The following is a 16,568-nucleotide window of genomic DNA, read 5'->3' as shown; positions in this document are numbered from 1 at the left end:
AAGTAGGATGAGTTTTACTGTTATCCACTGTTAAAAAAATAAAAATTAAAGTTTGGAAATTGAGTCATTTGACCCAGGTGGCACAGTTAATAATTGAAAAAGCCAGAACTTAAATGTTGGCCTTATCCTACACAGAAGTGCTTATTCTACAACCCCGCTTTGCAGCATTCTGGAGAAATTAACAAATTAAACAATTTCTCCTAGACACTAATAATAGTAAGTCAAAGGAATATCTGTGAGTGAAGTATCTAAAAGATGCCAACAAATTCTGTTTTTTAAAAAAGACAAATCCAAAATTTCCATGGATGGAGGTTGTAGCTGGGCTGAGGCCAGCTCTGCCGCCTCGTGGAGGCCTCGTCTGAGAGGTGGCGGCAGCCATGCGTCCTGGGAGTCAGTGTTATAAAAGCAGCCTTGGAAGAGAGCCTAGCAGCTCTGTGTTCCTTTTTTAGTTTTTCCCATTTCCAAAGACCAAAGATCACGGAAGGAAGAAGAGAAAAATCATTATTTCAGATTGAACTGAAGTCTTAAACTGTAAATTAAGTTAATGTGGGCCTGCTGGGGATATCTTGGGGGTTGGGGAGGGTGGACTTGTTCTTGGATCTTGGCAGAAGAAATCATTATCTGGACCTTTATTGGACTGGATACCCTTTTCTGCATCTTGGGCCTTCCTTCTCTATGCTCCCGAGGTGCCCTGGGTAGGATGTCCTCTCAGCTCAATGTACTAGGATTAACACTGAAAGAAATTAAACTCAGAGCATCCCAGTGGGCACCAGAGGGTTCTGCAGAGGGGCCTGGGCTCCTGCCTGCAACCCCAGGTGGCAGTGCAGACAGGAGCAGGTGGGCTGGGCATGCACTTCGACCACCCTTTCTCCCCTTCCTCTCTGTGCCCTTTAGAGTCTACCCCATGGTGATGCCCGCTGTAGCCATTCCCTTGGGGAGAGAAATGCTTTGCAGATGTTTCTAACCATAAGTGTAGGTGTGAAAACATGGGCTTTTGTAACTGAGAGGTGGGAATGCAATCCCCTACTCTGAGATTTCTTGACCTTGACATGTGACTTTATCTCTCTAAACCTCAATTTCCCTTCTGAAAGGTAGAAATAAGTACACTGCCCACCTCGTGGTGTCATTGTATCTCTTTGATGATGCATAGAAAGCAATCAATGGCTGGGTGCAGTGGCTCACGTCTGTAATCCCAACACTTTGGGAGGCCGAGGAGGGCGGATCATGAGGTCAAGAGATCGAGACCATCCTGGCTAACACGGTGAAAACCTGTCTCTACTAAAAAATACAAAAAATTAGCCGGATGTGGTGCGGGCGCCTGTAGTCCCAGCTACTCGGGAGGCTGAGGCAGGAGAATGGCGTGAACCCGGGAGGCGGAGCTTGCAGTGAGCGGAGATAGTGCCACTGCACTCCAGCCTGGGCGGCAGAGCGAGACTCCATCTCAAAAAAAAAAAAAAAAGCTATCAGTATCCCAGTGCCTGGACCAAGTACTAACTAGAGGGAGCAGCACTGAGAAAAACTGACTCTGCTCATAGGGCAGCTGTCCATACACATATGGACAGCACAAGTAAAAGAAGAACAAGTATGGGGATGTTCTTGATGAGAATGTTGAGAAAACTCATCACTGACATAGCATAAAGAGAGCTCCCAATCAGGTTGGAAGGCAGCTTTGAGGTCTTCAAACCTAGTCTTCTGCGCAGTACAGAAATCCCCCTTCCCACAGCATGCCTGGTAGGTGACCACCCCCTTTCAGAGGTCCCCAAACCTACCCTGTATCAGAATTAATGGGGGCCACTGTTGAAAAAGAAATTCCCAGGGCTCAGCCTGCGAGTAGCTGCATCCGTGAGATTTGAGGCAGAGCCTGGCAAATGGTAGCTGGACCGTTTGAGAAGCTCTTTGTAAAGATAAAATTCAGAAGGGCCAAGAGCGTGCCTGTTTTCTTCCCTGCTGTGTCTGTAGCAGTTAGCACAGATCCTGGTGCAGAGTTGGGGCTCCATAAATACCTGCTGGATGAGGGCTGAATCATGCAGCCTCTTCCAGAACCATTCCGGTGATCGGAAGCTTCTCCCTAGAAAGGGAGCTCATTTCTGTTTTGATTAACTGATGGCTAGTTATGGTCTTGCTTATAATAAGCAACGTCTTTCTTCCTCTCATCTTCACTTATTCAGCCTAACTCTTCTTTCAAGAGTGACACAGATTCTGTTTGCTCTCAGAAGGGATTATCCCTGAGCCATAGTTCAGTAAGGGTGGAGTATTTTTTCCAAGTGAAAGGAGGGCTGAGTGATGAATAAACTGGGTTAGAGGTGCTTCATCAAGAAACTGAAACCCAAGCAATCAAAATGAGTGGCAATGAATTGGAGTACATAGATCGCATCTGAAGGACATGCAATATAAACCTGGGCTCCCCAAACCTGATTAAGAGTCCCAGTGAAGCCCTATGAAATAGATACCATTTTACACATGAGAAAAATGAAGAACTGAGAGTTTACTCGATATTACCTATGAGCTGGGTGTGGTGGTGCATGCCAGCACTATGGGAAGCTGAGGTGGGAGGATCATCTGAGGCCAAGAGTTCAAGACCAGCCTGGGCGACATAGCGAGACCCCCATGTCTACAAAAAAAAATTTAAAGTTAGCTGGATGTGGTGGCATACACCTGTAGTCCCGTAGCTGCTCAGGAGGCTGGGGCAGGAGGATAGCTTGAGCCCAGGAGTTCAAGGCTGCGCTGAGCCATGATTGTGCCACTGCATTCCAGTCTGGGTGACATAGTGAGACCCTGTCTCTTTATTAAACAGAGAGAGAGAGAAAGAGAGAGATTACCTATTAAATATAGAAGAGCTAGAACTTAAACCAGGTGGAGAATTATATTAAAGTTCAAAGAGGCTGGCTGTGGTGGCTCATGTCTGTAATCCCAGCACTTTGGGAGGCCGAGGTGGGCGGATCACCTGAGGTCAGGAGTTCGAGACTAGCCTGGCCAACATGATGAAATCTCGTCTCTACTAAAAATACAAAAATTAGCTGGGCATGGCGGCAAGCACCTGTAATCCCAGCTACTCGGGAGGCTGAGACAGGAGAATCGCTTGAACTGGGAAGTGGAGGTTGCAGTGAGCCAAGATTGTACCATTGCACTCCAGCCTCAGAGACAAGAGCAAAACTCCCTCTCAAAAAAAAAAAAAAAAAAAAGTTCAAACAAAATAGCAGCAGCTGAGTTTGAGACACATAGGAAAAAAAAACAAAAAAAGGAACTTCAAGCCAGAGTTTTGGTTTTGGCTCCTGGCTCTTCCATTGACTGCGTGTTTCTATAAACACCGCTCGCCCTTGGCAGTCTTCATGTGCAGTAGTAGATGGTTCCAGAGAAGTCATTAAGACCATCACAGTTCATCTGACTGTCTGTGATCCTAGGGTGCTTTGAGCTGGAGCTGAACTGCAAAGTAGGAGCTGTGAAACACACAGGTTCAGAAATTCTCCTTTTCAGTCTATTCGGGGTTGTTTAAATATCGTTCTGTGTGCATCTTCTCAGGAAATGTTTTCTTATTCTACATTGACTAGCCAGGAACACCTGGGGCTGTGTAGCAGCTCTTTCAGGAGGTTTAGTAAACGGTAATATGATATTATATGTTTTCCTACTTACAGACATCCTGCACTCAGACACACATTGAATGGTGCTATTAAATGCTTTTCTATTTTAAAATAGCTTATTAGAATAAATATGAGGTTGGGAGAGCACTATTAGGTTCTCTGCTGACAGTCAGGGCAGCCTCTGGTTTTAACATTTTAATATTCACCTAGTGGTATAAGCACAGCCGGTTTGATCAGCAGCAGTGATTGGCAGACTTCCTCTGTGTGCCCAGGAGCTTTTCTGGGGGTGGAAAAAAGGAGATAGCACTGAAAGCATCCTGCAGATCACAGCTAGAGCCACCTGTTCCTGGTGTTTACCTGGAGAAGTTAACTAGTACGCATCTACTTCCACTCCATTCAGATAGAATTTACCAATTCCAGATGGGCTAAGATGGTGGGTTGTGGATAATGTATATTTTTTATTTATTCACCCATTCATTCATCCATTCATCCACACACCTGCAGTATAATGGGCCCCTAGAGCACTTAAGCTTTTTAATCAAGGAAGCAGAATCATCAAATTTGTGCTTTCAAAACATTTCTGTGGCTAGGTAGGCAGAATGGAATGGCACAGGGCTACCCTGAGGAAAAAGTGATCAGGTACAAATCTGCTAATCCAGGAGAGAGAGAGAGGAGGAGAGCATGGTAGAGCAAGGGAAGGGATGAATTTGAGAAACACTCCATAGATAAAATCTGTGGGATTTGGGCATGGCAAGGATGTGAGGAATGAGGAGCAGGAGGGTTCAAGATTGAGTAAAAGGCTTCTAGCTGTGGTGACAAGTTTGATCTTCATGCTACCAACCAAGAAAACAGGTAGGGGTCACACCTATTTTGTAGGAGGAGAAGATTGTGGAGTTAGTTTTGGTCAGCTTGCGTTGAAAGTCATTGTGGAACAGCCAAATCACCTAAGAAGATGGTGGGCTGATACATAGATTGAAGAGTAGGGCACTTTGGAAAGAAGTCTGAGTTAACATGGAGATTGGTGATCATCTTCCAGTCAATAGTGTCTGAAGCCACCGGAGTAGATCCCATCATCTGTGGATAAAATAGAGAGTAACAAAAGGGGGCCAAGAAGGGGAGTTGGGGAGCACCAGCATGTTAAGGGTGGCAGAGAGAGGGAAGCTCCATGGAGGAGGTAGGGGAAGGATGTTCAGAGGGAGTACATCAGCGAAGGGACAGATGTCGCCGACGCTAAAGGCTTCAGAAAGGTGGAGTGGGGTGAGAGACAGCAGGGATGGGGTGAGGGGTAATGTAGCCAAATTTTGCAGAGTCCAGTCTATGCACCTAAATGTCAGCACTTGGGTAGGAAAACCTAGACATTATGAACACTGGTCATCCCAAAAGGGAGGAAGAGAAGTGCCTTTAGTTGAGCATCTCCCATGAGCCAGCACTTTACATCTGTCATCCTTTTTTTTTTTTTTTTGAGATGGAGTCTCACTCTGTCACCTAGACTGGAGTGCAGTGGCGCAGTCTCGGTTCACTGCAGCCTCCGCCTCCCAAGTTCAAGCGATTCTCATGCCTTAGCCTCCCAAGTAGCTGGGATTACAGGTGCATGCCACCACACCCAGCTAATTTTTTTGTATTTTTAGTAGAGGCGGGGGTTTCACTATGTTGGCCAGGCTGGTCTTGAACTCCTGACTTCAAGTGATCCACCCACCTTGGCCTCCCAAAGTGCTGGGATTACAGGTGTGAGCCACCGCGCCCGGCCTTGTATCATCTTAATCTGATCTCAATATCCATTCTTAGAGGTCAGAGATAGATTTTATACTTAACCTTTTATGATAAGGAAACTCAAGGCTCAGAGAAGCTATACCTTGGTCAAATCATACACAGGTGGGGCTAGAATCCTGTTTTGCCAAGTTTTAAAATCCTTTGTCTTCCTGATTTATCATGCTGCCTTCTTTATACCCAATGGACGAATGCTCAGCTCAGCCTTTTCATGCCAGATGCACTGTGTGGAAGAATTGTAGTTCTCTGCTCCTTGGTTCTCACCTCCCGAGCAGCAGGAGCCGGGCCTTGAGCCAAAACCTGCAGAAGGAAGAAGAGAGGAGAGTTCCCTGCGTAGAGCCATCCATCTGCTGGCTGGTGACACCAACACCAGGGCCCCAGCAGAAAAGCAAGCTTGTTCGCTCTTGTCTGACTGTTAGTAGTGATGTATGAATAAGCAAAGAAGACAGCTTCATTTTCATAAGTTAACTTGTGCCTAGACTAAGGAAGATGGAGAACAGCGCACTTAATCATAACCACAGGCCCAGCTTGGAAAACAATGACAAAGCGTTTTCTGTGAGTCACAGTGTTTTATTACAATAACTCCCAAGAAGACGAGACAGGCAGTGCAGAATGCTGAGCAAGCCAGCACCCTGTAGCCACCTGTGTCATCTCCCCCAAGGAATCCCCTGGGATTTTACCTCTTCACACGATGGCAAGCTGAAGATGTGTTTGCACCATCAAGGTTACAGCTGTAGACTTGGGCCTCTGGAGACCAGGATTTAGATGCCACCTGGATGATGGGCTGGGATTGCTGGAACTGTCACAGATCACCTGTATCATCCATGCTGTCACCTGGTAGCAGAGGGGACTTCTCTCCTAGAAGGGTGTTACCCGACAGAACCCTTATTGGAAAAGCTTTTGGGGAGGCCTGGCTGCAGTGCTGGAAGGGATGTGGTAGGTGACTCGGTGGGAAGGGAGACATCCAACTTGTCTAGCAGGTATCACCCACTTACCCCCACAGAATCAATTACTCCCTACTTATTATTCCCCCATCTTGCTAATATCGCCCTGTCACTGCTAATATCATGCTGCTTCAAAATTGTTTATCTGTCTCCTCTTCTAGCTGCCCCCAGGGCAAGAACTATGTTTTTTTTGTCTTTCATTCCTTAGTATTTTGTGTGGTGTCTGACACAACTCAAACCCTCAATCGATACTAAGCTGAACCAACGTCTCAGCAAACTAAGGGCCATGTCAGCTAAGGACAGGAGGAGATGGCTGAGCTGGAGGTCCAGGCAGATGGAGCAGAGTGTAGGACCAGGGAGTTCTGGGTGCTTCCATAAGAGCAAATGCTTACTGAACGCTTTACTATTTCATCGACGCTTTTAGTGGTAATGTTTGAATAAGCACAAAACACAGCATCATTTTCACAAATTAACTTGTGCTTAGAGGAAAAAAAAAATTAGGTATGTTACTTACTATCTCTATTTTACAAGTGAATGAAGAAGCAAGCACAGAGAGGCTAAGTACCTTGTCCAGGGTCACATAGCTAGTAAGTGGAAGAGCCAGGATTTGAGCCCAGGCGTCTGGCTCTGGTGTTCATTTTCTTCACCACTTTACTGTACTCAGGAAGTATGGCATTGGAGACTACCAATGAATTCTACTGGTTTATGAGGTGAATGTAGACACCATGTGAGTTTATTATGTGCCAGTCACCCTGCAGGTGAAATTTACCCTTGACTAAAGCAGTAACGGAGCTTCCAAACTCCAATCAGTAATTCTCAAACTTTAATGTGCATCTGAATTACCTGGGGAGTTGGTTTATTTCAATGCAAATTACTAGACCCCGTGGCCAGAATTCTTATGCAGAAATATTGTGGAGTGAGGGAATTAATATATTATTTCCCCATATGCACCACCCCCGCCCCTGCCAATATTGAACCAACTTAGAGATAAAGGAGGGAGAGCCAGATGTCACCTTATTTTACTGATAAAGGTGAAATTGGAGGACTCAACTTTAGAGTCCTTCAGTATCTACAATGGCTCTTCCTAGCACCAAAACCCAGAGTTGGAATTGCTCAGCTATCCCAAGAAGTACTAGACAACCACAGCCTCACAGAGGAGGTCTGCTCTATAAAATTTAACAGCGTGAAAGAACAGATTCGATGCAGGCTATCTGTTGGCATGCTGGCTCCTGGAAGAAGGGACAGAGGAAGAGGCTAGGCCACATCAACTTGGTTGCCTCTGAAACTCACCTTTCTCTTCCCCATGGATGTGGAAGGAGTTATCTGTCACCAGTCAGATAACTGTCACCAGTCAGTTAACTCCTTTCACACCCATGGGGAAGAGAAAAGATCGGCTCAAGGTGTCAAGAAATCCCTCCTTCTAGAAACCGGAGAAGTAGGGGAAAGCATCCTCCCACTAATAACTAACTTCTAGGTTGAATGAAGCCCAGGAGCCTGTGCTTTTAGCAAGAATCTCAGGGGTTTCTGAAACAGATAGTCCTCAGACCACACTTAGAGAGGCAGAGTTCGAGAATGGCCTAATGGTTGTGCTGGATGACCTCCAAAGAAAACCTCATGGATAAGCTTGCTGTCTATCAGGGGCTTTCGGGTTAGGATAGGCAGTGACTATCATATGTACAGTGCTTAGAGTTCCAGCTTCTGTTCTAAGAACTTAACATGTATGAAGTCATTCCAGCATGTGAAGTCACAGCAGCTGTAAGAGTTAGATACCAAGGCAGAGATAGGTTAAGCAATTTTTTTCACGGCTACGCAGCTAGAAGGTGGCAGGGCTAGGAACCGGAACCAGGCAGCCTGAGTTCAGTCCACACTCTTTATCTCCAACTATATTGATGTTCATGGTTCCCTCTTCACACAGAAGCTGGGAAGGCACAGCCTGAAAGCAAAACTCAACACCGTTGAGAGGCTAAGCAACATCGCTTACCCTTACTACTGTTTTGATCATTGATATGGCAGCTAATGAATTTCTTTTAAAAAGCAAAATGAAGTCTCAGTAGCTGCTGATTATTCTGTTTTTTTCTCACCAATGGATATTAAAGTTCTAACTATCATGTTGCTAATTAAGGAATTTTTTAAGAGGATTGGCGTGCCTGAGAGGGTTAAGTGGTACTATCAAAAGCAATGCAGCCCAGGTACAAACTGAATGAAGAGCAATTTGGATATTATTCTTTGGGATAACGTGACTTTAGGTTAACCATGAAAATCATTCCTTCTCTGGAGATGAAGACCTTGAGTTTAAGCCTTATGTAGAGCACCCCAAGTGGGTGCTGCCTCCCCATCTTTGCAGTTTTCCATACAGGGGAGCGGGTGCCTGAGTTCCCAGAGCTGGGTGGAAGGTCTGTTAATATTGGTGACTACAGAGAGGGTGAAATGATTTATGAGGACACTAACACACACCCGATCAGGAAGGTTAACCCACTAGATGTCATTTATTTAGCAGACATTTATTAAGCACCTACTGTGTGTTCAGTACTACACCTTGTAGTATCTTGCCCTTGGAATAATGCAGGAAGTGGTTATTTATAAATGAGGTCTGTGGGTGCCTGAATATTGCCAACTTCATCTTTTATGGAGTGTAAGTCAGCTGCTGGCAAAATACCCGTAGGAGCCAGGCATGGTGGCTCACGCCTGTAATCCTAGCACTTTGGGAGGCTGCGGTGGGAGGATCGCCTGAGGTTAGGAGTTCGAGATCAGCCTGGTCAACATGGCGAAACCCTGTCTCTGCTAAAAATACAAAAATTAGCCAGACATGGTGGCAGGTGTCTGTAATCCCAGCTACTCAGGAGGCTGAGGCAGGAGAATCGCTTTAACTCGGGAGGCGAAGGTTGCAGTGAGCCGAGATGGCGCCATTTGCACTCCAGCCTGGGCGACAGAGCAAGACTCCATCTCAAAAAACAAAACAAAGCAAACAAACAAACAAAAAACAGTAGGAAGTACTAAATAGTGATGTCTTCCATCTAATATGGGAATGAAGATAAAGTAATAGTTCAGACTTGGGCTTATTCATAAAAGGCTTCATGCTGGAGATGGACCTTGAAAGGATTGTGGGTGGGGATTGGCAGGGGGGGCAAGGGCAATGCCTGCCAAGGGAGAGCTATATGAGCAAGGTAGAAATTAGACCACAGGCAACAAAATATTTTTGTTTGGCAGGAATAAAGTGTAGCTCGTAGAGTATTTGTCTGAAGAAGTAAACAGGCAAAATAAAATGTATGGGATGCCACCATATAAAATTTGGCCTTTCAGATATCTGAAGATGACCTTACCTGAAATTTAGATGGACCCCCTAAATTCAATAAAAGATCCTTCCCAGGCTGGGCGCAGTGGCTCACGCTTGTAATCCCAGCACTTTGGGAGGCCGAGGCAGGCGGATCACAAGGTCAGGAGATCGAGACCATCCTGGCCAACACGGTGAAACCCCGTCTCTACTAAAATACACAAAATTAACTGGGTGTGGTGGTGTGTGCCTGTAGTCCCAGCTACTCGGGAGGCTGAGGCAGGGGAGTTACTTGAACCCGGGAGGCGGAGGTTGCAGTGAGCCCAGATTGCGCCACTGCACTCCAGCCTGGCAACAGAGCGAGACTACGTCTCAAAAACAAAACAAAAGACCCTTGGGATACCCACCTGGGGCCTTAGTAATTATCTTAATAATTAGGTATCACCCCTCTCCCCCAACAATGACACTTCCCATCCTCATTGTGAGGTTATTAAATGAGGTCTCTAGCTGGGTCATAGCATCAGGACAGGACACACAGCTTTCCCAACTAAGGGCACCCTGCCTTTCAGATCTAATTGTTCTGCACAAATGTCCTAAGCTTGTTGCACATGGGATTGATTGACTCTTATACTCCCTGAATTGGTGTTATGTTTTTCTGAGGAATTCTACAAGTTTTAGATGTCATCATATACAATGACAAAGTGGGTGGTAGTGTTTTTCCCATGCCTCTGATTTATGTATTTGTGCCCGGGGTGATGATTTAGATAGGAGCTTAATAAAATTGATCGAATATATTACCCCAAACCCACACACCATCATTTCAGGGAGCTGTCATCATACCAAGGAGATGCTATATCACCCAGCATAGTGTTCCAAAAGAACCACTGTGTTTTCTTAAGTGCGGATGGGCTTCCATTTGGTCAGAAAGGTCTTTATTTCTCAAATTGGCCAACAGTACAAGAGTGTAAATTCAAAAGGTATTGGTTAGCTGTAGAAGAGAGTCATTGTTAGGTGTGTGACTTTTCCAAGTTATTTAAACTCTCTAAACCTCAATTTCCCTTTCTTTTTTTTTTTTTTTTTTTTTTTGTTTTGTTTTTTGAGACGGAGTCTTGCTCTCTCACCCAGACTGGAGTGCAGTGGTGCGATCTCGGCTCACTGCAAGCTCCGCCTTCCGGATTCATGCCATTCTCCTGCCTCAGCCTCCCAAGTAGCTGGGACTACAGGTGCCCGCCACCACGCCTGGCTAATTTTTTGTATTTTTAGTAGAGATGGGGTTTCACTGTGTTAGCCAGGATGGTCTCCATCTCCTGACCTCATGATCCGCCCATCCCGGCCTCCCAAAGTGCTGGGATTACAGGTGTGAGCCACCGCACCCAGCCCTCAATTTCCCTTTCTACAAAACGTGGATTGATAATTCCTGCCTAAAATATTTGTTTTTGTAAGGATAAGCAATAGTGCATCAAGACAGTGGGAGGAATCTTTGTTTCAAACAAATGTAGATGTCTATCCTAGCTCCATCTTTAGCTGTCCAAGTCACTGGTCCTTTGTGAGCCTGTTTCCTAGGCTGTGAAATGGTATTGGTAATAATTGCAAGAGAAGGCCTTCTGCATGATGGAGTTGTCTAAAGGAGCCAGGTGGATCAGATGTGAAGGCCCAGAGACATGTACGCCCTAAGAGATTGACCACAAGGCTAACTTGCCTAAGTTGCTAAGATGCAGCAGAGACTGAGGCCAACATCAACGCCAGCTCTGGGGACAGAGGAGCAGTTGTTATCTAGACAACACTCTTGTATTGATATGATATTGACATGATGCTTGTTGACACAAGATAAATATATTTGAAAGGAAGCAGTGAGGGTGAGAACAAAAACCCTGTAAGAAGGTGGACAAAGAGTGGCTCTTCTCTTTGGGCTCTCGTCTCAGCAAACAAGGGTAATCCCTCCTCCCTGTCGTGAGAAACCAATCCCAGTCCATTCCCAGAAAACGAGTAAATTAATGTACAGTGGGAAATACCAGAATGGGAATGCTTGAGAAATAGTATGCCTGTCAATAAATATGTGCTCCATGAGTTAGGAAAGAAATGCATGCATGCATGCATGAATGAATGAATGAATGAATGAATGAATGAATGATTTGGGATTCTAGCTTTATCAGATTCACTAGGTGACCTGCAGCAAATCAGTTAACTGTTCTGGGCCTCTATTTCTTCTCTATAAAATGGAAATAATAAAAATGACTGCCTAATGGTGAGAATTAAATATGTTAATGCAAGTTAAGCTGTTAGGTCAGAGGCTGGCACTTCATAAAACCTCTCAGTAAGTGAATACTGTTGTTGTGATGATTTGCCATTACCCTGTGTCTTCAATAGTCACTGATCCAGATGGCTTGGCTTCTCCTTTTAAGATGTTTGTATTCTCTGTACCTCACAGGTCAGCAAGTCCTGGGCTTGGTGGAGAACCAGAGTGACTGGTACCTTGGAAACCTGTGGAAAAATCACCGCCCATGGCCAGCCCTTGGAAGAGGCTACAACACAGGTAAATCCTCAGGGTGGTATGGGAAGAGTTGCAGAAGGTGATATGAGGACCCAGTGCTCCTTCCGCAGGAGAGGAGATTGCAAAAGCTCAGGAGGAGGCCACCTGATTGCTTGAATTCAGTGGTGGATGGTTTGTGGGCAGTTTGCATTCCAGTTCCTTCTTGGTGCTATACCCACAGGTAGAGTAACCGTTGGGCTGTGGCAGTCTGTGGCATCTCACCAGAAAGCCCCTCTCCTGACCTCTAATCCAGATCCTATTGGATATCTTTATCAGTATGACCCATAGGTTCCCTGGCTCTGTTAATACAGACCAGATATCATTCTTCAGTAACAACCCCATTTCAGTTTCTTAACACAACGGATATGTACTTTTGCCAATCACATTCCACGTCCACTTGAGGTCTTCAGGGATCTGTGTTCACTGTGGGTACTCAGGATTCATCTCCATGCATACTTCCATGTATGTGGTGGGAAAGTAGCAGAAGTTGTATTATCTCTTAAAGTTTTTGTTTAGAAGTGACGTAATTTCATATTTCATTGACTAAGCATGTTGTGTGGCCATGCCTCCCTTTAAAGCGTGTGGGCAAGTGCAGTCTACCATGTGCCTGGCAGGAGAAAAAGCAGATATATTTGCTAATCAGCACTTTTGAGGACCACATGTGCCTGGCAGGAGAAAATGCAGAAATATTTGGTAATCAGCACTTTTGAGGACCACAGACCTATAACCATGTGTCTAAAATAAAATCCATTATTCTACCTCGTTACTAGCCCCAAACTTGCATCTCCTCTTCAGTTTCTTTCTCTGTTATTGGTGTCCTTCATTCATCCATCAACCCTTCTTGTTCACCAGCTGTCCCTTGAATGCTTACTGTGTACGAGGCCCTATGCTAGCTGCAGCAGACACAGTCCATGACCTCATGGGGTGTATAAGCAATGAAACTAGGGCAGCCTCTTCCTCCTGAGGCTCAATTCCCATCAGTGTCTATCTTTGACATGCTTCTGGATCCTTCTGCCTCCCTCCTCCATCCTCATTGCCACTGCTGTGGTATCCCATTCTCAAAGGATGCAGACTCCTGATCTTTGTCAGACTAGAATGTGGAACTCAGGGAACAGTAGGATGGGTGAGACCAAGAAGGGCTGGAACTTGGCATCTGAGACCAGCAAATGAAGTGGGTTGGGACAGGTGTCTGGCTCTGGGGACAGTACCACCTAAAAGTGATAAGTGAAGCCTGCCCTGGAGGCTGAGGCCAGTCTGTAGTGGGATCAGCCAAAAAGAGTCCCAAATTCTGAGAGCTGATGGTCAGACTCCAGAAAAGTCAAATGCAAACACAGGGTCCCAGAGAACAAAGGAGAAGGGACATGAGTCAAGCTTCCAGAGGTAAGAGTTCACAGATGGGGTCAGAGTGGGGGTCAAAGCTAGAGGAGGACAAGGAAAGAAAGTCCAGCATCAATGTCCAGAGGTGGCAGGCAGCCAGGGAGCCCTGTATTGACGGCCATCCTAAGAGACGGGGACATTCCTTAGCTAACATTTGCCTGAGTATTAGATATGCCTTGCTCTATGTAATTTTTTTTTTCCTGTAATGCCTACCAGGCAAACAGAGGTTGTGATTGAAGAATGTCAACCACCAGCCCTTCACAGACTCCAGATTCCCACCCTGGAGTCTCCCATGCTGTGTTGGGCATTAATACTTTAGTTGCTGGATGATGGGGAAGTCTGAGGAGTTCCTGAGAGGGGCCAGGTTGGGGAAAGGCAGCTGAGGGCATCAGAGCAGTGGTTCTCTTAGCAGGTCAGGAGGTATTTCACTCTTTTCAATAATGGGTAAGGCAGGGCCTCTACGTATCAGCTGAGTATTAGCCAGGCACCATGTTAGGTGCTTTATGGTTGTCAGTCTCCTTTGATCCTCACACTCATCCTATGAGGCAGGTGCCATGCCTATACCAGAAGAAACTAGTCTATACCAGAGGAAACTGAAGATTGGAGCATCGAAGGCTGCAACCCTGAAAAGTCAAGGAGCCTGTGGTGTTAACTACCAACCTGCCTTGCTTGAACTTTAATGGCTTCAGGATTAAACACTTTTCAACAATGGAGAATTCTGGGCTCTGCCCTTCAAGAGTCTGATTGACTAGGTCTGTGCAGGAGACTGGGATTCTGTCCTATAGGAAGCCTCTAGGATGTTTCTGGGGCAGAATGTCCAAGGGCCTGCTCTGATTAAACATGGCACTCTGTTTCCTGTCCCAGCAAGCTCTCCCAGACGCTGTTTTCTCAGTGCATTGGAGACTGGACCCTCCATGAACCCACAGCGGGCCAGGGACGGGGGTTCCACGTGCTTTCCTCTGGCAAACGACTAGTCACCCCGTGTTGATCTTTTGTGCCTGGATTTTCAGACACGTTCCCTCCAAGCTTTCATGGAGGTGGAGACACCTATGTTTCTGGGTGGAGAAAGGAAGTCTCAGGAAAACCCTGGTGTATACATTTCGTTTCTGTCTTCCAAAATATATAATAGAAAATGTCACATAGAAATATACTGCAGTGCCTCAGGGATGCTGCATCAAGATCACGGTTTCCTGCGTAAAACAAAAGCCGCTGGTCATCAATCCGGGTTTGCAGAGAGAAGAAGAATGTAGCACACTAGGGAATTTATTACAACCAAAATGGCATGTCTCTTCCTGCCCTTCCCTATTTGCTATAGAATGTAGCATCAGGAGACACAGGAGCACGTAAACCACCTCCAGTTCCCGCTTGATTTGTCAAAGCAGTGAGTTACTTCCCTCCTCGCTGGTACTGAAAGGGCAGAGCAGAAGAGGGAAAGCCCTGTTGAAGTGATGTGTCCATTTAAATAAGCCAGTGACACTGAGTGATTATTATGAAAGGACTTAGGCAACATCAAAATGCAAAAAAATGGCTTTCACGAAGGGGATGTGTCGCTTTAAAACCAAGGATTGTGCCACCCAGTGAATGAGTCATCCAGACATGTAGATTCTCATGGAAACTGAGGACGACCCTGGAGAGAACCTGCCACCCTAAATCCCAGCACATCTGAAGCCTCCAAAAAGAATATCTCCAGCAGAACCTCCTGTCTTATGCCTTCAGCTTGATGTTAGGAACTCAGGCAGATCTGGGTTAGAGCTGCAGTACAGTCATTTAGTCTTCTTATGCAACTTGGCCAAGTCACTTCACTCCTTGAACCTCAGTTCTCTCCTTTTTTTTTTTTTTTTTTGTTTCTTTTTTTTTGAGACAGAGTCTCGCTCTTTCGCCCAGGCTGGAGTGCAGTGGCGCAATCTCGGCTCACTGCAAGCTCTGCCTCCCGGGTTCACGCCATTCTCCTGCCTCAGCCTCCCGAATAGCTGGGACTACAGGCGCCCACCACCACGCCCGGCTAATTTTTTTTTTTTTTTTTTTTTTAGTAGTGACGGGGTTTCACCACGTTAGCCAGAATGGTCTCGATCTCCTGACCTCATGATCCACCCGCCTCAGCCTCCCAAAGTGCTGGGATTACAGGCATGAGCCACCGTGCCCAGCAGTTCTCTCTCTTTTTTAAGATAGGACAAGGCCAGGCACGGTGGCTCACGCCTGTAATCTCAGCACTTTGGGAGGCCGAGGTGGGTGGATCACGAGGTCAGGAGTTGAAGACCAGCCTGGCCAAGATGGTGAAACCCCATCTCTACTAAAAATACAAAAAATTAGCTGGGCATGGTGGTGTGTGCCTGTAATCCCAGCTACTCGGGAGGCTGAGGCAGAGAATTGCTTAACCCAGGAGGTGGAGGTTGCAGTGAGCCGAGATCATGCCACTGCACTCCAGCTGGGCGACAGACTGAGACTCTGTCTCAAAAAAAAAAAAAAAAGACATAACAAACCTAGTATGTGAGGATTAGCAATTAATGTTGTAACTTGTTTAATGAGCCTAGCCTGATCCAGGGCACAAAGTAAGTACTTAGTAAATCTTGGTCTTTCTCCTCTTGCATTTTTCTGCCACTTGCTCTATCAGGGAATGAGATTTACCGACTGGAAAAAGGAGGTTATGTGATTGACTGGGGTTTGCTAAGGTCTCCCAAGCCCTTTGGTCAGAAAGAACGAGTAAGTATTTTACTTTCCCCAGGTGTAATCCAGCTACCTAGCAGTTTTTCCTGTATCTCTTTACTATCTGAAAAGGTTAGCTTTTTATATCACATTAGGAAAAAAAATGACTATTTAGTTCGCATATCAGCTTCCTCGCTGTGTTTTACTTTGAAAATCCCCAGAAAAGCATATGAGATGTTTGTGTTGGAAGCTCTGCCTTCAAGACCTGGCGTTGTTGCTTTTGAGTTCTGTGCCTTTTGGAAAGCTTACCCAAGCTCAGGGAGCCTTGGGCTTCTCATTTATGAACTGGGGACCTCAGAACCCACTCGGAGGCTCTGTTGTGGTGGCGCAGCCACGTGTGCCTGGGGTAAACCAAAGTACTTTAGCAAGTTGGTTGTGATTTTTATTTATCCCCCTAA

The 16,568-nt window shown here is 45.8% G+C and overlaps 1 protein-coding gene and 1 non-coding gene across 27 annotated transcripts in view, besides 1 other annotated feature; both read left to right on the top strand.

Annotated features, from left to right (window-relative positions):
• LARGE1 (LARGE xylosyl- and glucuronyltransferase 1) overlaps positions 1 to 16,568 on the top strand; it is an 856,162-nt gene that overhangs the window by 478,571 nt on the left and 361,023 nt on the right. For all 26 annotated transcript variants that reach the window (XR_007067993.1, XR_002958722.2, XR_007067994.1 and 23 more), the window contains one exon: positions 11,989 to 12,093. Coding sequence is in view for 23 of the 26 variants with exons in the window: in XM_024452302.2 (XP_024308070.1) it covers positions 11,989 to 12,093 (105 nt within the window). In the remaining 3 variants the exon portion in view is untranslated. The remainder of the gene's footprint in view (positions 1 to 11,988; positions 12,094 to 16,568) is intronic.
• Positions 5,207 to 6,406: an enhancer, noted in NCBI's record as "MED14-independent group 3 enhancer chr22:33833834-33835033 (GRCh37/hg19 assembly coordinates)". NCBI's record gives its function as "activates an origin of replication core promoter dependent on BRD2, BRD4, P300/CBP and CDK7 cofactors, and independent of MED14, by STARR-seq in HCT116 cells {active_cell/tissue: HCT116}" and the evidence as "EXISTENCE:reporter gene assay evidence [ECO:0000049][PMID:35650434]".
• On the top strand, positions 7,585 to 7,672 carry MIR4764 (microRNA 4764). The gene has a single exon (NR_039921.1). It is a non-coding gene; the product is annotated as a microRNA 4764 (primary transcript).

This window comes from Homo sapiens, chromosome 22 (assembly GCF_000001405.40).
Source record: "Homo sapiens chromosome 22, GRCh38.p14 Primary Assembly".
Classification (NCBI taxonomy): domain Eukaryota; kingdom Metazoa; phylum Chordata; class Mammalia; order Primates; family Hominidae; genus Homo; species Homo sapiens.
Note: the sequence above shows the minus strand (reverse complement) of the source record. Positions and strands in the feature narration are given on the sequence as shown.